General features: G+C 55.6%; 1 protein-coding gene and 1 long non-coding RNA gene across 9 annotated transcripts in view, besides 6 other annotated features; one reads left to right on the top strand and one right to left on the bottom strand.

Annotated features, from left to right (window-relative positions):
* Positions 1,125-1,626: an enhancer, noted in NCBI's record as "H3K4me1 hESC enhancer chr12:291153-291654 (GRCh37/hg19 assembly coordinates)". NCBI's record gives its function as "activates a minimal SCP1, AML or CMV promoter by ChIP-STARR-seq in naive H9 embryonic stem cells {active_cell/tissue: H9 hESC(naive)}" and the evidence as "EXISTENCE:reporter gene assay evidence [ECO:0000049][PMID:30033119]".
* On the top strand, positions 1,205-18,993 carry IQSEC3-AS1 (IQSEC3 antisense RNA 1). 2 transcript variants are annotated; one of them, NR_183431.1, is made up of 3 exons: positions 1,205-1,545; positions 15,906-18,301; positions 18,856-18,993. It is a non-coding gene; the product is annotated as an IQSEC3 antisense RNA 1 (long non-coding RNA). The 2 variants fall into 2 exon arrangements; NR_183430.1 differs by having other exon boundaries at positions 15,906-18,993.
* Positions 4,251-4,793: an enhancer, noted in NCBI's record as "H3K4me1 hESC enhancer chr12:287986-288528 (GRCh37/hg19 assembly coordinates)". NCBI's record gives its function as "activates a minimal SCP1, AML or CMV promoter by ChIP-STARR-seq in primed H9 embryonic stem cells {active_cell/tissue: H9 hESC(primed)}" and the evidence as "EXISTENCE:reporter gene assay evidence [ECO:0000049][PMID:30033119]".
* The window catches only part of IQSEC3 (IQ motif and Sec7 domain ArfGEF 3), a 111,689-nt gene continuing 93,253 nt past the window's right edge, over positions 5,158-23,593 (bottom strand). For 2 of the 7 annotated variants that reach the window (NM_001170738.2, XM_011520961.2), the window contains 7 exons: positions 21,548-21,687; positions 19,994-20,119; positions 18,080-18,179; positions 17,723-17,884; positions 14,508-14,600; positions 12,452-12,501; positions 5,158-9,014 (listed from right to left, as the gene is read on the bottom strand). In NM_001170738.2, the coding sequence (NP_001164209.1) occupies positions 8,580-9,014; positions 12,452-12,501; positions 14,508-14,600; positions 17,723-17,884; positions 18,080-18,179; positions 19,994-20,119; positions 21,548-21,687 (1,106 nt within the window). In that variant the 3' untranslated portion in view covers positions 5,158-8,579. Of the gene's footprint in view, positions 9,015-12,282; positions 12,367-12,451; positions 12,502-14,507; positions 14,601-17,722; positions 17,885-18,079; positions 18,180-19,993; positions 20,120-21,547; positions 21,688-23,593 lie in introns of those variants that run through there. The other 5 variants (XM_011520960.2, XM_011520958.3, XM_017019311.2 and 2 more) reach the window with 5 other exon arrangements.
* Positions 9,196-9,721: an enhancer, noted in NCBI's record as "H3K27ac-H3K4me1 hESC enhancer chr12:283058-283583 (GRCh37/hg19 assembly coordinates)". NCBI's record gives its function as "activates a minimal SCP1, AML or CMV promoter by ChIP-STARR-seq in primed H9 embryonic stem cells {active_cell/tissue: H9 hESC(primed)}" and the evidence as "EXISTENCE:reporter gene assay evidence [ECO:0000049][PMID:30033119]".
* Positions 9,722-10,248: an enhancer, noted in NCBI's record as "H3K27ac-H3K4me1 hESC enhancer chr12:282531-283057 (GRCh37/hg19 assembly coordinates)". NCBI's record gives its function as "activates a minimal SCP1, AML or CMV promoter by ChIP-STARR-seq in naive H9 embryonic stem cells {active_cell/tissue: H9 hESC(naive)}" and the evidence as "EXISTENCE:reporter gene assay evidence [ECO:0000049][PMID:30033119]".
* Positions 10,249-10,774: an enhancer, noted in NCBI's record as "H3K4me1 hESC enhancer chr12:282005-282530 (GRCh37/hg19 assembly coordinates)". NCBI's record gives its function as "activates a minimal SCP1, AML or CMV promoter by ChIP-STARR-seq in naive H9 embryonic stem cells {active_cell/tissue: H9 hESC(naive)}" and the evidence as "EXISTENCE:reporter gene assay evidence [ECO:0000049][PMID:30033119]".
* Positions 14,802-15,275: a silencer, noted in NCBI's record as "fragment chr12:277504-277977 (GRCh37/hg19 assembly coordinates)". NCBI's record gives its function as "represses an EF-1alpha promoter that drives an FKBP-Casp9 reporter gene in an ReSE screen in HepG2 liver carcinoma cells {active_cell/tissue: HepG2}" and the evidence as "EXISTENCE:reporter gene assay evidence [ECO:0000049][PMID:32094911]".

Genomic DNA, 23,593 nt, shown 5'->3' with positions numbered 1-23,593 from the left:
TTACAGGCGTCAGCCACCATACCTGGCCCTCTTTTTCTTTCTTTTTTTTTTCTTTTGAAATAGGGTCTCCCTCTGTTGCCCAGGTTGGAGTTCAGTGGTGCAGTCACGGTTCACTGCAGCCTCAACCTCCTGGGCCCAAGTGATCTGCCTACCTCAGCCTTCGAATAGCTGGGATTACAGTTGCATACCACCATGCCTAGCTTATTTTTAAGATCTGTGTATAGATGGGGGTCTCACTATGTTGCCCAGGCTGGTCTTGAACTCCTGGCTTCAAGTGATCCTCCTGCCTTGGTCTCCCGAAGTGCTGGGATTCCTGGCCCTAAGACTTGTAATTACCTATTCCACTTTAATTTAATGGTTATACATCCCAAATTTTCTGTTTGTTCTTGAGCAAGATTTGGTAAGATATTTTTCTAGCACAGTGTTCATTTTGTGGAGGGTTTCAAAATTATTGCCATAGGTTTATAGTTTATTTGAAGTATTTTATTTTGAAAATCTCTGCAGCATTCATAGTTACGTTCTCCCTGTTGGTCCTCAGGTTATTCATTTGTGCCGTCTCTCTTCTTCGTGATCAGTCTTATCAGAGGTTTGTCAACTTTATTAGTCATTTCTTAGAACTAACTTTTGGTTGTGTTAATCTTTTCTATTGTATATATATTTTCTATTTTATTACTTCTGCTTTTGTCTTTATTGTTTCTTTCCTTTGGGCTTATTCTGTTCTTCTTTTTTAACCTCTTAAGTGAAGTAGTCCCCTTAGCCATAGAAGGATGACTGGCCTGTGACTCAGCCTGCAGGCCTGGCACTGCTGTATGACTCCCCTGCCTTCCATTCCCTCTGAGGGTGCAGGGAGGGAGGCTGACTCCTACCCTAGATGTCTCAGAAGGAAAGGGGATTAGGGTTTCTTGAGGAAAGGAGGGCAGGGCAGGTCTGTCTAGGCAGTTGGAAACGTGGGAGTAACAGCCAGGTCGTCTTCCCAGCAGCCGGTTCCCACAGTTTTCCCAGAGCCAGGCTTGAGGTCACTTAGTCCTTAGGGTCATGGGAGCAGGAAGCGCTGAGGTGCTAGGGGCCGGCTGGTGGGTTAGGCAGCCTGGTTCCCTAGGGAGGGAACCCGTGCAGCCCTGCAGGGGCACGGGAGGGAGGGCGCAGGGGAGGAGAGCACTCCGCCCACCCGCTGAGCTCCAGCTCCCTCTCCTCCAGCCCATCCAGAAGGGAATTCTGGCAGAACCACTTCTGGACCTGTCCCTCTGCACCCCCCATTCCTGCGCCCTCATTTAACCTCCCTGACTCTGACCTGGGCTTGGTCTATCTTGGGGCCTGGCTGCCGTCCTGGGACGGGAAGGGGAGCAGATCAGAACTCAGCCTGCGGCTCCAGGCCGCTGGGCGCTGGCTGGGCCTCACGTTCTCCTGGAAGGACCACCTCCCTTGCCCTCCACGGGGTCTGCCTTTGCTCCCAAGGCTCCGCCCTGGACGGAGCGTCCTTCTTGCCTGGGCGTCTTCAGACCTTCATCTGTGACACCGGGGGCCATGTGGCTCACCCCGAGGAAGGTGAGTGAGGGGACCTGGTGCACAGGGTAGTCGACCGGTTGCTGAGTAGTGAGGAGTCCTGGCAGGAAGCAGCCCTGAGTCCCTGAGCGGCAGAGCTAAGGAGCCAAAGCCAGCACCCCCAGAGCTGCTGTCCGCAAGTGACCTGAGAGCAGTGGCACTAGGAGGGCCACACCTCCCGCCTGCTGCCCCCTGCTCTAAGCTACCTCCCGTCAAAATGCCTTCCTTCCAGGTGTCTCCATGAGGACACCACGGGGCGGTTGGCAAGTTCTTTCATCCTGGAGTCAGCACATGTGATTGATGGTGACTCCCAGAAAGCAGTGATCAATTGGCCACATCTGTCAGAGCTGGGATGGGAGGGGGCATGCCGAGGGCCGCAGCCATGTAGTGCCAGCCCCCTGAAGGAGAAATCAATCTCACTTCCGTTCTGTGGGGTTCACGCTGAGACGTGAAAGGCTGTTAGCCCCTGGACTCCTTGGGACTGCTGTGCAATAGGCCATGGAGTCCATTCCATTATTTAAAAATGGCAAGCCTAGGCCGAGGTGGGTGGATCCCTTGAGGCCAGGAGTTTGAGACCAGCCTGGGCAACGTAGTGAGACTCCGTCTCTACAAAGACAAACAAAAATTATTCAGGCATAGTGGTGCACACCTGCAGTCTCAGTTTACTGGGGAGGCTGAGGAGACAGGATCCCTTGAACCCAGGAATTCAAGACTAACCTGGGCAATATAGAGAGACAGCCTGTCTTTTTATTTTATTTATTTATTTATTTTGAGACAGAGTCTCGCTCTGTCGCCCAGGCTGCAGTGCAGTGGCATGATTCCGGGTCACTGCAACCTCCGCCCCCCAAGTTCAAGCGATTCTCATGCCTCAGCCTCCCAAGTAGCTGTGATTATGGGCTCACGCCACCATGCCTGGCTAATTTTTGCATTTTTAGTAGAGACGGGGTTTCACCATGTTGGCCAGGCTGGAGAGAGACCCTCATCTCTACAAAAATAATAATAGTAATTTAAAAATCAGCAGGGCGTGGCGACATGCACCTGTAGTCTGGGCTACTTGGGAGGCTGAGGCGGCAGGGTCCTTTCAGCCCAGGAGTTGCAGGCTGCAGTAAGCTGTGATCGTACCAGTGCACTCCAGCCTGGGCGACAGACCAAGGCCCCTTCTTTGAAACATAAATACAGGAAAAATTTGAAAATGGCAAACCTGAGCCCTCTTGGTTTGAGGTGACAGAGGAGGAGGTGGACAGCAGGCTGCCTTGACCTGGAGTGGGCTGCTCCCCATCCCTATGCAGGGTCACACAAGCACGTGCTTGCTCTGGGCAGCAGCTGCCTCGGCTCAGGGTAGCCTGACTTCACTGTTGCTGGTTTGTGCTTTCTGCGGTCTACTTCGGTGGCCTGGTCTTCCTGTGGTGGTGGCTGCCCACGTGGCCTAAGCTCTGCCCCACCCCCGGCCCCATCCTTGCCTGTCCAGAGCGCCTGACTGCTCACTCTCAAGCACTTCCTCTCCTGGCCTGTGACTGGTGACCGTCTGCCCTGGATTTGCTAGAAGACCAATTTTGCTTTCCTCAGTAAAGATGTTTTGAATTCATGTTTACACTTAATTCATAAGATTTTTTCATGTAAGTAAACACATATATCAGGAAACAGTTTTTTGACAAACTGTCTTGGTTTCTGCCTCATAAATATGTGGTCATTTGACTTGAAGTGATGGTCTCCGAACTGTTCACCTGCCCTCAGACCAGACCTTGACCTTGTTGAATTCTCCTCCTTGGAGAGGCCTTCCTTGAATGTTCACCCTAAAACAGGCTCTCCCCATCACCCCAGCGGGGTCACCATCCTCTGTGTGAAGGCAGCTGCTCCATTTCTTGTTGATGACACCCCCCAGTGTGAACTTTCCCTGTCCCCTTCACTGCATAGCCCCCAGCACCTGAAACAGTGCTCAGCAGGTGGTCTCAAACTTACGGTTCAGTTCACCCTGATTTCCAGCACTAGCTCTGGGTCACTGCTCTCAGCCAGAAACCAGTACATCCTGGGACCCCTTACTGGGAGCATTCTAAGTCTATGACTGATGAGTCTGACATTCTCCCATCTACAAAGGGTCATTATGGAGGGAGATGCACGGACTGTAGCTCTCCATCCCTACGGCAGATAGGCACAGAGGGGCCTGGACCACCAGACGGGCTCTATCAGAACAGGATGGTCTCCCTCTCACTGGAGGGACAAGCATTCATCCTAGATGACCTCAGGGGCCCGAGGTGTGGAGAATGGTGCCATGGGCCCGCATCTGGCACAGATAGCAGCAGGGCCGTCCTTGGCCCTTGGCTCTCTCCCAGGCCCGGGCTGAGCTGGTTCCCCGCAGAGTGCTCTCAAGGGGCCAGTCCTCAGCTTCCCAGGTCAGAGAATTCCCAGGATGGGACAGGTCATAGCCGGCTTCCAGCTTATTCTGGAATTTCCCATTTCCTGGGAAGAGGGTGAGGTCAAGTTGAGGGTGAGGTCAAGTTTCCTTTCCCTTTAGCTGTTGGGAACAACAGGAACCAGCCTGGGAAGGTGCTGAAGCTGCTGGGATTTCCAGGTGTTCAGAATTCTGGTCACCAGGAGAGCTGGGCGCCCTCTCTGCGAGTGTCCTGGGGCAGCCAATTGCTCTCCTCTGATGACTCAGCATTGCTGGAAGGCTCTCTCCTCTCTCCCCAGCCAGGAGAACCACCCCATCTTAAGCCCCCATGGAGCCGAGCTGAGCACTGCACCTGGCTGTGAACACCTGGCTGAGCTCCTGCCGCTCTCCCAGTCCTCATTCCAGCCTTCCCTGCTTCCTTACAGCCACTCGGCTACTGTCATATCCATATGCTTCCCAGAACCTTGGCATCCCTTCTGGCTCCCAGTAGGGGACCTGGCACACTGTGGGGCTCAGGATATGTTTGCTGAATTGCTCTCTGTGGCTTTGTGCACTGTCCCCAACAATCCTCCTCCAGTCCTTTCACGGGCCCCATGGCTCCTGCATTTCAGAAAGGTTGGACCCAGGGGCTGGACAAACCAGACCCTGCCACTGAGGTCAGGCTTTGGGAGCTGATGCCTGGCATGGCCAGTGGGATGTCCTCCCCCGCACCCTGACAAACCCTCACTCTTCATTGCAGAAAGCCAAGCAGGCCAGAGGTGGTCCTCATCTCCCCCTGGAGGTGCACTGACTGTCGTGGAGCCTCCTCCCTCCACAGCTGCCTTTGGTCTCCATTGTAGCTGCTTTCTGGACTGGCTGAAAGCTGTATGTGTGTGTGCTCAGGAAGGTGGAGTGAGGGGGGTGTATGCATGTGTTAGCGGGTCAGGCCCACACACACGGTGATCAGTTTCCTAGCCCTGCCCCCAGCTCTGCCAGTGCTCACCCATCAGAAGACTTACCTTATCTTCCCACACCCGAGTCTCCTTTATTGAAGACAGGGGTTCCTAACCATGGGACATGAGTGCATTATCCTGGGGTAAAGGAATGGTGCTGCTGTGGCCAGGGGAGAGAAGCCTGAGGGGCTGAGGGCATCGGTGTCCTTCTCAAATCCTCACCAAGAGATGCTCTGATTTAAGGCGAGCCCCCCCCGCTGGGAGAGCAAAAGAAGCTGCGCCGACACAGTTTGCTCAAGTGACATCTTTCAATATAATCTCTAAAACTCTATGAATTGAACAGATAAAATACCTCTGGGCTATTTTGTTACAAAATATTTGCCATTTGGATTAGTTGCTGGGTGCAGCCACCCTGCCTTTCCCTAGAGAGGTTTCTCTCTCTCATGGGTGACGGGTGTGCGGGGAGAGGGTGCAGCAGGAGTTATGTACAGCAAAAACAGGGACGGACAGACAGATGGTCATCAGGGAAGCCTAGTGGGTACAAAGAGACTCCTGGCGGGCCGTGGGGACCGGTGGCACAGGGGCTCGAAGACGCAGGGCTGGATCAAGACACCTGTGCAGACGGGCAGGCAGGCAGGCAGGCTTCCAGGACACGCTGCTGGTAGAGCTTGCTTCAGATCTAGGGGTGGGACTTGTCCAAAAGTGGGTGGAAAACTAGTTTCATCTCCCATTCCCGACTCTGGAGTTGGGGCCGAATGGATCAAATCAGGAGAGGGACCCAGATTTCCCAAAGGTCTAGAGAGTGGATAGAGTGGGGCCATCTTGGGGTGACTGGGTCTGGGGCTCAGCACTCTACTGTCCCCGCAACCTTAGGAGAGCAGGAAGGCCCGAGAGCACCCCCCACCGGCCCTCTGGGGGCTGGAGGCCCTGCCCTGTCTGCTGCCGTGGGGAGGGAGCAGGAGGCTTTTCCTAGGTCCCTGAGGTCTAGGCTCTGGGGACAGGGATGGAGAGGGGTCCCAACCTTGGCCTGGGGACTGAGCAGGGAAGGGAGGTTACAGATGTTGGGCACTTGCTTCCCCTGACAATGAGGAGGGCCAGCTGTGTCCTGCCCCAGGCCCTCAGGGGTGTTAAATGCCCCTCCCAGCTCAGGACTGGCTCCACGGAATACTGACCCCGGCTGGGCTGCTTCCTGGACAGACTCCCTGTGCTGCCCGTGGAGCCCAGGGCAGCCACTGCACCAACCCACGGGGTGGGCCTCTGCCCTGGGGCAGGGGCACTGAGGTGCCTGAGAGTCCGGGTTCTCAGCTAGAGGCCCAGATGCGTGCCAGCCCTAAGACTTGCTGGTTCCGATTTGGAAGATTGGGGCTTCAGCTGAGGTGGGAGGGAGGGCCTGGGGTTGCTGTGCCCTCAACAGGGGAGAGGGCACTTGGTAAGTTTGAAGAGCTGTGTGAGCAGGGGACGGGGTCCTGCCTGTCCTTGGTAAGCTTGAAGAGCTGTGTGAGCAGGGGACGGGGTTCTGCCTGTCCTTGGTAAGCTTGAAGAGCTGTGTGAGCAGGGGACGGGGTCCTGCCTGTCCTTGGTAAGTTTGAAGAGCTGTGTGAGCAGGGGACGGGGTCCTGCCTGGCGGGTCAGGGCTGTCTGGGAGAGTGTCCCTGGCCCCCACGGCCCCCACCCCATAAGTATATTTAGCTCATAGTTCCTATTCCCCCATACCTCGCACTCCCTGCCTCTTAGTCATCGTTTTCATTCTATTTTCAGCTTCCCTCATTTTGATTCCTCCACTCCCATCCCCACAGCTCCACCTCCTCCCAAGTCCCTGACTCCTCCTGTCCAGGCCTTCACTTTAAGGACGATCCCTGCCCTGGCTAAGGGCATCAGAGGTGTCTGAATGCGTGCACCCCATCTGTCATCTGCTCCACTCTGAAAGGCAATGACTGGAGCATCTGTTACAGAAAACAGAGGAGGGCCAGGGCAGCAAGGACACAGAGGGGCAGATGGGCTGGCAGCCACAGGGGAGAGGGCAAATTGGCTGCAAGTTACAGAAACTGGGCCGACGAAGACAGGGCCAGAAATAGATTCACTAGGTGATATCACAGTGACGTCTGGGTGACCACACACACACACACACAAAACGAAACTAGGTCATCTGGAACCTCTGGGAGCAGGGAATGATCCTTGCCTCCTACCTGGCCCGGCTACTGCAGGCGGGGCGGGGTGGGGAGATTCAAGTCCATGTCACCTTTGACTCATGCTCACTGCCTCTCCCAGGAGGCCTTAACCACAGGCTCCAAGTGTTGGGGGACCTGCACATAGGACAGCAGTGAGCTACTGGCACAGGACTGGAGCCTGGCCAGGCTTGGGACAGACACATCCTGATAGGGCCTGACTGCGCAGGCCATGGTACGGCTCCTGTGGTCTCTGGGGTGGCTGCCTCTCGTCTGGCTGGGGAGGGGCCCTTCCCCAGGCTTGGGCTCGTGGGGCCACCTAAGGCTGGCTATCCCATCTTGCTGGGCCCTGGGAGGTCAGCGAGCCCCGCTTGGGTCTCCTTTGCAATTTTGAGGGTCCAGGGACTCTTGGGCACCCCTGCTGGAAGGGGGGGGTCTAGAACCTTCTAGGAGGAGGGAATATTTAAAGGCTGAGGGGCGCAGGGGAAATGCACATGCCTCTGGAGCCCCGGTTTTTCTTGCTTACATCTGCACCCAAGTCCCTCCTGGAGGCCACAGACTCATGCAGGAGGGAGCCCTGCCTCGGGCCGAGCCTCATGCAGGAGGGAGCCCTGCCTCGGGCTGAGCCCCATCTCTGCTGGGCACATTCCTGCCCCGTCTCCAGTTCTGCTTCCACAGCGGAAGGAATGGCCTGGTTCTCATGCGTGTTTGCGTGCACATGCCGGTGCGTACACGGCATTGGCCGGGTATTAGCTGGGGCTGGGGAACTAAGACACTCTTTAAAAAGGTGCATTTTGCAGATACATGACCTCGCGATCCCGTGGCCCTGCTGGACTGACCTATAGAAAGCCGAAAGTGCTCCCCTTCCCGCCTCCCTTTTTCCAGGCTTTTCTGGAGTCTGGGCAGCTCCTGAGGAAGCAGAGGCCCTGGGAGGAGGGGGAAGGACATGGTCAGGACAGCCAATGTCCCTGGGGACCAAGAAGTAGACTCCTGAGAGTTTCAGGCTTGGGGGCGGGGGTGGCAGAAAAAGCCCCCTCCTCACTCCTCCCACCTGTCCCTCCAGGGGTGGGACCAACCCTCCTCCCCTCAGTGCAGCTACAGAGGCACTAGTTCTGGGCTGCGAGCCAGCCACTCTGTCTAGTGCTCCACTGCCGGCCGGCCCAGCCTCATGCTGCTGCCCAAGGCCCGAGGCCCCGGGCACTAACAGACTCAAAGCCTGCAAGCTCGTTAGACCCTCAGCTCGTTTTCTTCAGTCCATGGTCCAATGGGGGAAAGTGGTGGCCAGGGGAAGAGGAGGCCTCGCCGGGTCTGGCTGTGTAGGGCCCTGGGAGAGTGAGGTGTGTCTTCAGATCTGCAGAGGGGGTGCAGCTGAGAAAGGGAAGGATGGTTGGATGAGGCAAACCCAGGTGCCAGGGATTGGGATTCTCTTCCCAAAATGATGGTGATCAGTGACCAGGAACGCATCGTGCCAGGGTATGGGGAGCAGTGGAGGGGCAGCCCAGGCCCCCCAGTGGCCAGCCCTCCCAGGACAGCAGGGTGGTGGGGCAGAGTCTACACCAGGCTCCTTGAGCCACTGGAGTAGCGGTGCCCGTGCAGCAGGGAGCCTGGGGGACAGAACTGGTGAGGGTGGTTGTAGGGGGGTGGGGGCGGGGGCAGCGGAGGCTGGTGGGTGACCTTGACCGGAGAGCCGGGACCGCCCAGGGGTGTGGAGCCGCAGGAGTCAGAGGACGACGAGGTGTAGCAGGAGAGAGCCTGGCTCAGCAGGGGCTCCATGCGGGCCAGGCAGGGCTTGTCCAGGACAATGACCTTGACAATTTGCTGGCACTGCACCAGGGTGCCCGGGGGCGTGGGTGGCGGCGGCGGCAGTGGTGGGGTCTGCTGTCTCGGGGGGCTAGGCTGCAGGTCTGGCGGCGGCACCGGCGCTCCCCTCTCGGCCCCCAGCCCGGAGTTGTGCTGGGACGTTTGAAGCCTGTTGTGAATTGACACCTAGTTTAGAAACAGCCAGAGAAGCATGAAATGTTACAAGACTAATTCCCAGCTGCTAGGACAGGCTGCCCTGTGCCTCCCCTGGCCTCCCTCCCACTCTCAGCCCTCACTCTGACCCTCTCGCCATCTCTCCACCCACAAGAAGACTGGGTTGCGACCCTGGCTTTTGCCCAGGGGGGAGAGAGGAGTCGAGAGGCTGGCATGTTCTGCCACTGACTGTGAGCAGTGTCGCTGTACGGCCTCAGTCTCTTCATCTGTGAGATGGGCTCTGCATACATCTGCTGCCTGATTTCATGGACCTGCTGGGTGTCCTCACTTCCTTTTCCACCACACTCTGAGCTTGAAAGCAGGGGTTATAGTCTTTGCCCCTCCCAGGAGTGTGCTGAGGCAAAGGAGGGCAGACCCAGGGACAGAGCCAAGCGTTATTGAGCCTTTCCCTCTGTTCCCTCCAGCCTTGTTATAGAGGAAGGATCATTGGCACCGTCGACCTCATAGAGGCTTAAACCCCAGAATGCCAGAGGGTGATCTGGACCTACCTGTCCTCCCAGACTCCCCACGGCCATGACCCTGCGTTCGAGAACAGCCCAGACAGCCGAGGGCAGAGTCAGCTCCCCAGCTGCCATTCTGGCCCAAGCTGGGTCCTGGTTAACTTGCCTGGCTGCAGGAGAGGATCCCCAGAGAGGGCTCTAACCTTGATCCCCAAGGCGGGGCAGGAGGAGGTGGCCCAGATGATGCTCATGAGCCCCCTCCCTCAGACCATGGAGGTCACTATGGACTAGCCTGGCCTCCCCTTGCTACCAGCGGGAGGTGGAGGAGATGGGTGGAAGGGAGGCTAGAGGATTCTGGAAGGAGAGGGATTTAACTCCTCACACCGTTCCACCCGCAAGCTCCCCTGCCCGTGGCTATGACACCACCCAACCCCCTCCAAACCCCTGGGTCTTCTAGGGGAGGCTGAGACCCTCCTCCTCTCTGAGGATCTTTCTATTGGGCTGACATCTGTCCTCGGGCAGCACCACCTGGGGCCAGTGCTCAGAGCACAGAGGGAAAGGGAAGCTGCAGGGGAGGTACCTCATCCCAGGCCTAGACCCAGCTGGCCCAGCCCAGAACTATCCCGGAGCCCTAAACTAGCATTTCCTCATCCTGTTTGTTGGCTGCAGGTGCAGTTCAGGGACACCCTTTCCCGGACCTGTGCACTCCCAGGGGGCAACTTCCCTCCCGAGGCTCCGCAGGCCTTTGTCTGCCCCTCAGTATTCATGAGCCCCACTGCCACACTCGGCATGTCACGGGCTTTATTTTTCCTTCTCAGCCTCCAACCTCAGCACATGTTCCAGGCCTGAGGTCTCCCTAAACAAACGAAGGTGCCCTGAGCCCCTCACTGTCCTTCCAAGACATGGCAGGCAGAGAGCATGGCTGGGGCCCACCTGCCTCTGGGGATCCCTCCAGGACCCTCACTCAGGCAGAAGCCGCTGGAGGGCACGGGCTCCTCTCCCCTCCTGCTTGTATTCTGAATTCCTCCCCAGGAGACACGGGGCCTGAGACAGCCAGGACGGGCTTGTGCTCATCTGCCTCCCTCCGCCTGGACTTCGCAGCGGCCTCTCCCCAGGCGAATGTCTGGCTGTCCCAGTCCAGACCCACTGAGCCGTCCTTCTTCTCCCTGAAGCTCCCCGTGCCGCGCCCCCTCTGGGCCACAGCCTGCGCCTCCCGTTTACCTCCCCTGCTCTGGTCCCCCCACTGCATCCCTGGCCCCACCGCAGTCTCTGGATCCTTCCTCTTTAGTGGTCAGTAAGTGAAAAGCAGGAAGTGACAGCAAAATGTCCTCTCATCTGACCCCCTTCTCACCTCCCTGCTCATGAAAGAAAGAATGAGGGGAGTGGGGAGACAGAGGATGGAACATGAGCAGCAGGTCAGAGAACAGCTCAGAGAAGATGGAGAAGCACCTGCCAGAGGGGCTTGGCCAGCAACGGCAGAGAGAGGGCAGAGGAGAGAGAGCCTGGGGTCCAGCTGAGGCCGTGGGAGGCGAGGCTGCCCTCTGCGTGGGAGAGCAGAGGCTGGCAGGGCCCTGAGCTAGCTGAGGGTGGCAGCCTTGCAGATAGCCATATGCTGTTAGGGCAGGAGGGAGGAGTGCGTGGGGTTGGTTGTCCTCCCTGGGTAGCTCAGGCTAGGGCAGGGCAGGGCAGGGCTGGCAGAACAGAACAGAGGGCTGGGCACGGGTGTGCTTATCTGCAAGGCTCAAGAATGGGCAGCTGTGGAGGATGGGGAGTGGAGGGGGGCGGGGAATAGAATACCCACCCTGGGGGCTTGTCAGCGGCTGGGGCAGGAAGCTCCTCCTTGTAAAGGTGCCTCCTCCAGACACGGGTGTGTGGGGGGTGGGGGGCCATGGGGGAGAGAGAAGACACTGAGCTCCCCCGGGGTATCCTGCTGCTTCCCAGGGCTTAGTCAGACTGATGGGTAGGGCAGCTTCCTAAGACACCTAATGGGGGCCCCTCCGGGTCGAGGTTAGGGTTGCGAAGGGAGGTGTCTGTATGAGCAGCCGGTGGCCCCGGGAGGCCGGGCAGAAAAGGAGTGGAGCTGGGACTCACTGGGGTGCAAGAGGACCCAGTGGGAGAGGGGTGGGGCTCACGAGGCTTGTAGGGGCACCTGCACACTCCTCCCATAGGTGGCACTGGGGGGGTTTGGCAGGGACCAGCTGCTGCTGGGTCTTCTGCAGTCCCTCACTGTATGGCATGGAGCCAAATGGGCAGCCTCCCCTCCACCACAGACAGTCTTCAGCTTATCACTTCCCCCAGGACAGCCCTCAGGACAGCCCCACCCTACTCTGTCTCATTTTCTTTTGCACACACATCCCTGCGCCATGGCCAGCTTTCCAGATGGACCAGTTGTTCCGGGGAGGAGTTCCCCCTCCCACCTGCCCCCAAGTCTCAATTCTCCAACCTAGCCCCAGGTGTCCAAGAGGGCAGGGTCTGCCCCAGAAGTGATCGTTTGGGGCCTAAGGGGTAATTCTCCGAGGGAGCCCAGGCTCCCCGCTATGGATGGTGGGAGGACTTGGGGAACGGGATGTGGGGTCTTCTGATACAGCAAGTACTGGGGGAGCAGTGAGCAGTGAGCATTTGCTGGGGAGGTGGATTTGGGGGCACACAGGAAGGATGGCCCTAGGGTGCCGTGAGCTCCGTCTCCACTGTGTTAGTCTGGGAGCTCGGCCTCGGAGGGCAGCAGGCTGGGGAAAGGGGAGAAAGAGCTCGTGGCTTAATTAGGCGCTGGAACAGTGGCATTACCCATGCTAGCAGTAACTTTTAATTGTATCTCTTGAAATTGGTAAAATGGTGAGTCGGGCTGGGGAGGCATTGATTAATACCTGAGAAGAGAAACAACAGAGACGGTGAGAAGAAGAACAAGGGGGCAGGGTAGTCACTCACCTGGGCAACCAGGGCTCCACTTACCTCCACCGTGCTCTCCGCCGGCCTCTCCCTGAGCGCGGCTTCCCTTTTGGCTTTGAATGCAAAGAGCACAGGGCTCATTCTCCACCGGCTGAGCCAAGCCCCTGCCCCTCCCCTGTGCCCCTCAAGCATCTCTGCAGCTAAGACTTGGGGTCACACTGCTCCTCACTGAGGCGGAGGTTGGGAGCCCCACTCTGCCACTTAGGAGCTATGTGACCTGGGCGAGATGCTACATCTCTCTGGGCTGCCGCAGACTAGAAGATCGCTGCCGCTCTTTCTGATGTTGGCATTGTGGAATCTGATTTACCCACAGTCAAAGCCTTCCCAGTACGAACTGTAAAAGGCTTGGAGGGGGCCTGGGTTGTGGGCGCCACGTTCATCAGCCTCCGTGGATCACAGGCTCCTTGAGCGTGGGCCACGCTTCTTTGCTCCAGCCCTGCAGACTGGCTGAGGGGGCAGGACTGAATGGGCTGAGGCCTGCACAGCACTCACCGCAGTGCCGGGCACGGTGAGAGCCGATAACTGCTCTGTAATTACTCTGAGGGCCTTCTGGCCGGCCTGGCACAGCAGCAGGGGCCCTGCGGACCCCCACGGACAGCTCATTGGCTCTTTGTGGCTGAGTCACTCCCAGCTTCCACCCCGACCCCCGCAGGAGCCCCTCTCATTTCCCAACCCCTGGGGGTGCCAGCTTCCCCCTGCTGTGCTCAGCCCTCTGCTTCCTGCAGCAGGAGAGGGAGCTGCACCATTGTTTGGGAATGAGAAAGACCCCGCTGTGGAGGGGACTAAGGGACACGTCCCTGGGGACAGGCATCTGGGCCTAACCAGGGCGGGCAGCTTCCAAAAGAGAGGCAGGAAGGAATGGCAGGGAATGACACACAGCTGAGGGCTGGCTCTGGGGTTCCACAGCTGAGAAAACAAAAGCAGCAACCCGTGCCCTATGACCTTATAGAAATGAAGAGGCCAGTGGAGATCAGGCAGCGTGGAGAATTACGGACGCACGATGGCAGGTCAAACCCATACAGGAAAGATTCCATCACAGAATCTCCACATAGCGAAAAGAGCCCCATGTCCTGCTTGGAAAGTGAATCTCATGTCCTCGCTGCCGTAACTAGTCCCCACGCTGCTGCCTGTTCCAAGTCAGGACTCAGGGCCGACTGTGGCGGGTCATGGACCACACGGGGCCCACTGGAGCTTCTCAGCTCAAGCTGGCGTCTCACTATGACCCTGGCTTTCCAGTGTTCTGCACAGGGCAGCAGCCATTCGAGAAGTGTTTGTTGAGTGTGAGAGTAAGTGACCGAGTTAACTAATGGGTGGACAGTTGTGAATGGCTTGCTGGGATTTCACTGGGATGAGACTGAATTCTCATGCATCTCCCCTCATGCTCTTTATTTGGGGCTGGTGGAGGGAGGTGGTGGAAACCTTTCCTGGCCCCCTGCAGGTGGGGTAAGGTTGGGGCAGGCCAAAGGAGGGGCCAGCTCTGGAGCCAGTGTGACTCGGCTGGAGTGAGCAATTCCACTGGAGAAACCACTAGAGAAGTGGAGTTTGAGGGTCTCTCTGGATTTGGGGTGGGCTGACCTGAGCCAGGGGTCAGGAAGTGCTTGTGGCTCATTAGAGAAGGGACTGTACAGAGAAGAGCAAGATCCAGATCCTTCTGGTCACCCTGCCCTCTTACACTGCCTGGTTGGAGAGTGTTCCTCGTGGGGCTTCTCTTGACCTCGCCTCGTCCAGACAGCCTGGCTGCAGGAGGGAAGGCCTCCCTGCAGGGGCCAGGATGCCAGGACTCTTGCCTGACTCCTCCAGGGCAGACAGTGACATCTCACACGGACTCCAGACCTCTGGTGCAGTTTGCAAAATGGACAGACACATTTCTCTCTCGCCTTCCTCCTCACTCCCACCACTAAAGCTCATGAGATTAAAGAAGGCAAGCCTGGCGCTCCTCAGCAGGAAGAAACACGCCACGGGAATGGGCACCTCTCCCTGCAGATTGCCCAGGACCCACACCCAGGGTCCCCGAGTGGCCTCCATGGGGACTGGTGCCCTGAGCGGAGCCGAGGCTCACCTGTCGGCGATCCTTGCTTTGACTGTGGGTCCCCCTGGGCTCCGCAGGGCTTGAAGGAGAGTGTCTTTGTTCCCTGCTGCTTCTCCAGCTCCCCTAAGGAATGCAGAGGCCCGTGAGCAAGAGAAACCTTAACCTCAACCACACAGAGGCGAGGCAGGAAATGAGGGGCCAGCAGAAAGGGGAGGAAGAGGAGGAGAGGTCCCAGTACATGCTGTGAAACACGGACCTCGGGTCTGGCCCCACCACTGAATAGCAAGTTAAATACCCCCTCGGAGCCGCAGTTTCGTCATCTGTACATGGGGATGATCCTATCTGCTTGAACGTCAGAGAGGCACAGAAGAGGCCGATGTGAGGGAGGTGAACTGCCTGGGTTTGGGTCCTGGTCCTGACACTCCCTGGCTGTGTGGTTTTAGGCAAGTTACCCAACCTCTCCATGCCTCACTCGAGAGGACAGCCAGGCCCACTTCACGGTGTCATTAAGAGGACTGCGTGGGAGATACACATAAAGCACAAGGCCTGGCTAGTGACCTGTACTCCTTAAGTATTAAGGTTTGTGCGAAAGTAATGGCAAAAACCGCAATTACTTTAGCACCAACCTGTATCAGTTTTGTTACATTGTGTGAAACGCACTTGGCACAGCAGAGCCTGCTGACAGGGGTGACACCCACCTCTCCACCCGGCGCCTGGGAGGACGGAGCCTGCCTGGGAGGACAGAGCCTGCCTGGCCAGCTGAGCCTCCGCAAGGTGTTCAAATCTCTCCCAAGGAGGAAAGTCCACACCGAGGGTGTGGAAGCTACAAGCCTGCAGTGCTAGGACATCTGTCTAGGTACTCAACTTTAATTCCTCTCACTGGATTGGAAACCTGTTCCTTCTTGTTCTTCTCTCAGTGGAGCTACAGAACTGCCGGCTGCCATCCTTGGAGATTTGACATGATTATTAAATCACTCCTCCCGCTTCTCTTTTCCAGGAGACATAACTCAAGTTCCTTTTATTAAAGCTACTCTCCTGGGCTCCATTTTCAGTCTCTCTGGTTGTCTAGAAACCAGGGACACTGAACCGTAGGCCCCCAAACCAGAACAATTTGTCCTGGTTGCCTAAATCACACCATCCCATCGATCAATGCTAAATATTTCTACTCAACTGAGAGTTGTTTCTCTCCCCACAGAGGGGCTCTCTTGGCTTTGGAGAAATTAGCCTGATAATTACAAGTGAGGAGTCCTGGGCCATTGGATGCAAACCTTGTTTTGTCACTGACTGTGAACTTGGACAACTTCCCTAAGTGCTTTTAGCCTGTTTCCTTACTTGTAAAATGATGCCCACTGTGGAAAGCTGTTGTGAGGATTAGTCCTCAATAAATGGTAGCTGATACTGTTTTCCATTTTCTTTTCTTTTTTGTAGAGACGAGGACTCGCTGTGTTGGCTGTTCTTGAGCTTCTGGGCTCAAGCAATCCTCCCTCCTGAGCTTCCCAGAGTGCTAGGATTACAGGTGTGAGCCACTGAGCCCAGCCCATTTTCTTTTTTTTTTTTTTCCTGGCTTCCTTTCCTCCCTGTCTCCCTGGCCTACCCTTCCTCTTCCCTCAGCTGTTCCTTCCCTTTCTCTCCAGTGAAGACTAAGGGCCAAGCATGAGCCTTTCTTCCTGCTCTTTTACCCTTGAGGCAGCAGGAGAGGATATTCACCTCCTGACATGACAGATTCTGACGCTATCTGCTCCTCTGTGACTTTGGGAAGCGGGGTATGTGCTGCTCCTGGGCTGATGGGGGAAAGTGCCTCTCCCAGCAATGCTGGTGCCACTTGGTGTGCTACGGCCCCCCAGGGCAGTGCGGAGCCATCTGGGACAGTTAGACAATGAGAGACGTGAAGCCATTTCAAGGTGCTTCCTTGAAAATGCTCCAGAAAAACAGCAGAGGCGGCCTCTCTGGGGATCCGGTCCAGCCCTTGAAAAGAATCTGTTTGTTTCACCACTGAACTCAAATAAGCCAACAGATTGAAGGAAGGGAGTTTCCACGCGCCCCTCCCCACCAAGCAGTTACCTGAGTTCCAGAGTCCAGTCCGATGGATCCCATTTTACCCTGGTTTAAATTGTTTCCTTAGAAAAAAATAAACAGAACCTCTTCTCTCACTCTCCAGTGGAAAGTATAGAATCAAACGTAAATGAAAATGACAGTTTCTAACATGCGCGACCTGGACACGCGGCTGAACTCCGAGCCTCAGCTGCAGAGTGGGGTCAATGCACCTACCTTGCAGCGTCACTGTGAGGATCCACACAACAGAAATAAACTGCTTAGTGTGTAGTAGGAGCCTCAAAAATGATGATTCAAAAGCACCAGCCTGTCACATTCATCCCCTGCTCAAAAACTCTCCCTGCCTTTCCTAGCGCCTAATGGACAGATATTAGTTCAGAAACACTTTATAACTAAGTGGCCATAGAGGCAGGCCTGAAGCCTATTTTCATTTTCTGTTTCAGTTTCTGAATCTGTTCTTATTTAGTCTTCCCTTAAAGGCTATCTGGCGCCTCCGTGATGCTTAATCAGGACAAGCTTGCAGATGGGTACAGGTTGCAGGCCCTTGCCTCTCTTCCCTTAACCCCACAGCAGCCAGTAAACCACCTGGACACAGAAAGAGACCCACATATTCTCTAAAATGCCTGAATGGAACAATCTAGAATCTAAGCATTCCTTATAGGAACAGAGACTACTGTAAGATGCGGGATAGTAAGAAGGCAGCCTAGACTCTTCAAAAGGACAATGTTTTAAAAAAAATGAAGTGGAGGGATGATTCAAGATTAAAAGAGAGTGAAGAAATGAGGCCAACCAGATGCAGTGTACAGACTTGGGCCACAGTGGGGGAGGTGACAGCAGACGGTTTGGTGGGAAGGAACGCACCAGAGCCCCATGGGCCTGCCTGGCCAGCTCGCTTGGTCATCCTGGTAAAACAGCAGAGCTCTCTGTTCCAAGAGGCCCACGCGCAGCCCCACATGCCTGCTGATCTGTGTACACACGTGTGTGCACTCTAGCAAGCCTCACTTTAATTGTGAAGAAACATGGGAACCGGTGCTCCCACCCGGGCTGTGGGAGTGTGGTGCGGTGGGGCCTGGACACGGGGAGGGTCCGAAGTGGGGCCAGCTCCCTGGAGTCAGGCATGTCTGTCTCAAGCTGCCCCTGTCCCTTGCTGAATGGGAACCCCCACCAGCTGCCTCGGGAGCCCGTGTCCTTACACTCTATTCGGATCTGCTCCAGCTCCGTCACCTCAGCAATGGACTCCTTCAGGTCCTCCACGAACTTCTGCATCTCGTCCGAGCCCAGGGCACAGAAATGCAGCACCTGCTTCTTCTCGGAGCCCGAGAGCGGGGTCACCAGTGTGATGCCATGAGAGTAATCTGGAAAGCAGACCCCAGGCCCCCAGTGGGCTGTGAGCAGCAGCAGCCGAGGGCCAGAGCCAGCCAGACATGAGGAGGGCACGGGGTCTCATGCCTCCACCCACTCTGCTGTCCAGCCCTTCTCCCTCAACTCGCCCCAGCCATTTCATCCATTCATTCCTTCTCAAAGACTTACACTGGCTGTCAAAGACTTACACTCGTTCTCAAAGAGCTGGAACTGCATGCCCAGCAGGCCAACTGACTTGCAAAAGGTGTACGTGGAGGAGCTCTTCTTCTTCGGGCAAAGTTTGAGAATCTGTTCAGGAGAGGGAAACAGGCATGCCCTGATGAACAGACACTCACGGACACATGGATGCACAAACACCCGGGGGATGCACGATCACACAAACCCACGCAGTGATGAATGTGCACATACAGGTACAGATATACATATATGTGCACACACTATCCCAAAATGTGCTTCTTCACTGCACAAAACCCTACAGTGGTTATTCCCTCTGTACTTAGAAGCCAAGCCACGGCGCCTGAGCTGGCCTGTAAAACCCACCTGATGTGGTCCTTGCCTTACTCTGGCCTTCTGCCCAAGTGTCCTCCCTGCTGTAGCTTGAGAAGGGCAAGCTCAGTTCCACTGTGGGCCCCTCGCATACACTGTTCCCACTCCACAGCTCTCCCGGCAGCTTTTTGCACGGCTGCATTACTCTCATTACTTAAGTCTCAAATGCTACCTCCTTAGAGATGCCTTCCTGGATCACCTCCTCTAAAAAACAAACCAAAGCAAGCCCAAACCTGGCCCTTAACTCCAGTCACTCTCTGTACTATCACCTGGTTTGTGGCCTTCATAGTGCCTTCCCCCAATCTGATATTATCTTGTTTGTCTGTTTCTTAATTATTTTCTATCTCCCTCCCCTACTAAAATGAAAGCTCGTTTTAGTAAAGTCATCTGGTTGCTTAATAAACAAATTTCTATTCAGCAGCTTCTGTGAGCTGAGCCCTGGAGATACAGGAGAACTCAGGACAGAGCCCCTGCCCTTAAGGTGCTTATGGAATGTGGAGTGTCACAGTGTCCATCAGGTGATCAAACAATAAAGCATAACAGCAAAAAAACAAAACCAAAGTGCTACGTGTTTTGAAGAAAATGAAACAGGGTAAGGAATCAAAAGTGATTTGAGACTTGAATGAAAAGGAGGAGGCCAGGAAGGCAAGAGGAGAGTGCAAGGTCTGGAGGAGCTTTGCAAGAAGGAGCAGCAAGTACAAAGGCCTGGCCCACAGGAGGGAGGCGCCTCCCAGGGCTGAGGAGAGGGCGGGGAGGCAGGTTAGGGAAAGGGGACACGTGGCCTGATGTGCACTCCAGAGAGATCACGCTGCTGCTCTCAGGGGGGTGGGGAGAGCCGTGTGGAGGCTGATGTGGTTCACTGAATGTACCAGGCGTGCACTAAGACTGTAGTAGTGGAGGTGGTGAGAGGTGGTTCAGGCTTGTGATCACTTTGGAGGCAGTGCCAACGTGGCTCATGGATAGAGAGGGCCGGTGCGAGGGAGACACAAGCCCTGCTCCAGTCCTGCTCACCAGTTTTCCAGACCTACAATGATGCCTGGCACATGGTCAACGCTGATCAAATATTTGTTGAATGGATACTTCTTTTCAAAGAGCAAAAAAAGTATCTGTGGGTACAGATGTGTGTATGTGTGTGCACGCACACACACACACCAGCCTCGCCTAGGCCCAGGGACAGAGCATGCTCCGCCTAGGCCCTGCTCCTCCCAGGCCCTGGGGTCTGAGGCACAGCCCTGTGCACTCCCTGTCCTGGGCTTCCTGTAACGTGGAGAGGCCAGTGGTCTGGGAACTAGTTCGTTAACAGTTTGTGCAACCACGAGCAGATCATCTGACGTCTCGGTGTCATGACTTATGAGGTAGGAATTAGCATGTCTGCCTGAGCCCCCTCACGCCCACGGTGTGAAAGCACCATGAAGGCAGATCCGTCCCACGGAACAGGCATTCTGTCTGAAAGCTCTGGGCGTCCTTTCCTGCCCACTTCAGGGACCCTGCCCAGGCTGACCAGGGCGGCAGAGGCAGCCCCAGCCCAGCCCAGTCCCGGAGCGGAGGCCACTCACCACCAGCAGGTCATTGAAGAGGAACACCTCCCTCTGATGCGCTGCCTGCTTCTGCAGCTTGTTCACATCCGTCACCTCGAAGAGCCGGCTGCAGCACACCAGGCGGCGGTGGGGCACGGACAGCACCTGCACGCGGGCAGGGCGCTCAGCGGGAGAGACCAGAGGCCTGGAGGCCTCCCCACCCACGCGCCCATTTTCCAGAAGAGGAGACAGCCCGGGAGAGGGGAGGGGCCCGGTTCTGTGGAGGGAGGAGAGGGGAGGGGTCCGGTTCTGTGGAGGGAGGAGAGGGGAGGGGTCCGGTTCTGTGGAGGGAGGGGAGGGGAGGGGTCCGGTTCTGTGGAGGGAGGGGAGGGGAGGGGTCCGGTTCTGTGGAGGGAGGGGAGGGGAGGGGTCCGGTTCTGTGGAGGGGGAGGGGAGGGCTCCGGTTCTGTGGAGGGAGGAGAGGGGAGGGGTTCGGTTTTGTGGAGAGGGAGGGGAGGGGCTCCGGTTCTGTCCTGGGGCCTGGACTTGACTCTCATCCTTCTCTCTCCTCGTCTGAGGCTCTTTCCCTCGCACGTTCACCCCCTGTCCCAGGGCTCATCCCTGTCATGCTTCTTGGGGAGCACGGCCAGAGAAGGGGCCCACTGAGCCACAGTAAATGAGGGGATAGAGGGACAGGAATAGGAAATTGAGAAGAGCTTGCAGGCTGTTCCAGTCCAGCCACTGTCAACCTGCTTCCCTCCGTAACCTTGAGGGCATCCCCTGCCCCAGGCTGCGGCCTGCAGATATGACACCTCCACCCTTTCTATACTGCAGAGATGCAGGTGTGCGAGAGCGAAGGGATCACAGAGACACCTGGCATCTACTCCAGCGTGTAAGACAAACCAGTCGCTTGCAACCCGACAGATGCTGAGACCTCAGCAATAAAGGCTCTCAAAGCAGAAAAGCCTGTCCCTGCACAGACTGGGAGGAGGGAGCCCAGTGCAGGGCCTCAGAAGAGATCTCCAAACTCTCCCACACCGTCCCCTGAGGCAAGAATATGAGGAGGAGGAACTGGAACCCCCATGACATCCTTTATAGTATAAAGTGTAGTAGCCTACAGAGAAGTCCCACTTTAAAAATCATGGCAGGCTTGGAACATGCTGCCTGGGACACAGGTCACTACCAATAGGACAAATCTATGGTGATGCCACAGCCTGGAGCCTATTGAGCCCATTTCCTGCCTTCCACTCATCAGGACCATCCAGGAATGCCTGGTAGTCATGCTGTCCTAGGAAAGGGATACTAAATCTCATCTGGCCACCCAGATGCTTCCACCCTAGACCACTGGGCAGTCCTTCCTGACATCTCATCTCCGTCTCTCCTGCTGCAGTATCGGGTGGCAAGAGGCAATGAGGAAATCAGGCAAGAAAAAAAAAAAGAGATGCAGTGTCTGGCACACAGTAGGTACTTCATAACTATCATGTGAATGAATATGAAAAAAGAGTTTTGGAAAGGTAAGAAGGAGAATGGGAAGAGATGCCAGGAAGAAAGAAAGGAAAGGAGACGGGAGATAGGTAGCTTGTGGACACTCACTGTCTTCATGCCCACAATGGACTTCTCCACCTTGGTGACGTACGTGACGTGGTCCTCATTGGACTTGAGCTCCTTCTGCTGTATCCTCTCATAGATGCCTACCACCAGCTCCCTGGGGATGTCAGCGCCATCGTCCACACCTAACAACGTGGAGTGGGCAGGGGTGGTGGTGGGGTTGGGAGGGAGGGTGTCAGAGCCCTGGAGCCAGACAGAAGAGACCCCCATCCAGCCTGGAGCTCCCGGGGGGTGGCCTTGGTTCTTGCCATGCCTTCAATGGCTGGTGCCTCATACCCATTCAATTAAGAACAAGTTCCTTAGCCAGGCACCAAAACTAATGATATGGCCCCAACACACATCTCCTGCCTCACCTCCTGATGTTCCCCAACCAGAGTCTTCACGCCCACCTCCCAGGCCTCTTTCCTGATGGCAGATACAGCCTCCATGTTCCTGCTAACCCTGTGCGCCTCTGCAGTTCTGTCGTCTTCCTTGTGTTCGTCTCACCCCCCAGCTCCACCCCACCACTCCAGCATCATAAGGAGCTTCTGTTTCGTTCTCTTTTGGATCTTCCTCCTGCTGGGCTCTCCTCTCCCCTCCAGTAGGGAGCATGGCATTGAGGGCTTAGTCTTTGAAGAGATTCCTCCCTCACTGGGAGCAGTGGGGGAGCAGGCAGACCCCTGGCAATGCAGGCGAGGACACCCCTGTCCCACCTCCTGCTTCATAGTAATGATAAAACTCGGGCAACAAAAAAACACTGGCAGGAAATATGCCAACAAGAAAACACGTTTCTTTTGGAGAAACAGGCGATTAAAATATCTTCTTTCTACTATTTCCAAATCTTTCTTTAATGACTATACGCTTCTTTTATAAGAGGGAAAAATTAAAAATAAAACAACTTTGGCAAGCATCTCTCAAAGGAGTGTTCCCAGCTACTGAAAGGACACCCCGCCTTCCACACGCAGCTCCCGGCCTGCTCTGGTCTCTTCCACGTCTGATCTTGGTTCTCGAAGTCAGGCAAATGAGCCATGCAGCAGCCAAGGAGGCTGAAAGAAATCAGGCGGCGGGTGAGAAAAACCAAGGAGAAAGGCTGAGTGTATGGATGCCCCCAGTTCAAGGTGGCAGGCTGCATGCCTCTGCTGCTTCTGAATACTCGGGAGAAAGGAATCTTTTAGAAAAGCATACACCCACAAAGACAGAGAACAGGGGCACAGGCACCCCAGGACCTGGCAAGTGGATAAATAAGTGGATGGATTTAGCAAACCTGAGAAAGCTGAACCCAGACCAGCAGAGAGGTTAGAAGCCACTCAAACACCACACAGCCACCAAAGGGCTTAGAGCTGGTGGTAACAGCAGCCCCTAAAAGCGAAGGTGAAGGTGGGCTGGGAATTGGAAAACAGGTTGAAAACGGGTTAGAAAGCTGCTGGGCTTCCCTATCCCCTCCTCACTCCAGCAGAAGACTGGGGGTCCATTCTCTGGAACTCTGAGATGAGGGACCCCACACCCAGCCAAGCCGGGACTCTGCTGAATACTGGGGGATGAAGTTGATAACCTATATATTAACCCTCAACTCCACTTCCCACTTAAAGATCTCAGAACTCTGGCAGCCAGAATCATACATTCTGGGCAACAGATTGAACATTTATCTTCTGGGTATCAGGCAGAACAAGAAAAAAATATCTCCAGATACTGCAGTAGGGTCTCCCGGTGAAATGCCTTAAGTAAATCACCCTACAAGAAAGCTCACCAGCCAGCAGCCTCCACCTGTGTTCACAGAGTCATTCATCCGCTTTCTGGTGGCTCACTCTTAAATATGAATGAACAACCAGATTTCATCAACTGCATTTGGAAAGTCTATACCAGGAAAGAGAAAGAAATATGGGGGAAAAAAAAAACAGAAAAAAGGACTCCAGAAGAAATAGAGGCAAACAGAGAGAAAAACAAACAAACAAACCAATATTAACATCTTCACCGAGATGGGAGAAGATATTGCATCTACAAAGCAAGAATAAAATGCTATAAAAGAGGAACATTGAGAGGACAAAAGAGAGC

Source organism: Homo sapiens, chromosome 12 (genome assembly GCF_000001405.40).
Source record: "Homo sapiens chromosome 12, GRCh38.p14 Primary Assembly".
NCBI lineage: Eukaryota > Metazoa > Chordata > Mammalia > Primates > Hominidae > Homo > Homo sapiens.
Note: the sequence above shows the minus strand (reverse complement) of the source record. Positions and strands in the feature narration are given on the sequence as shown.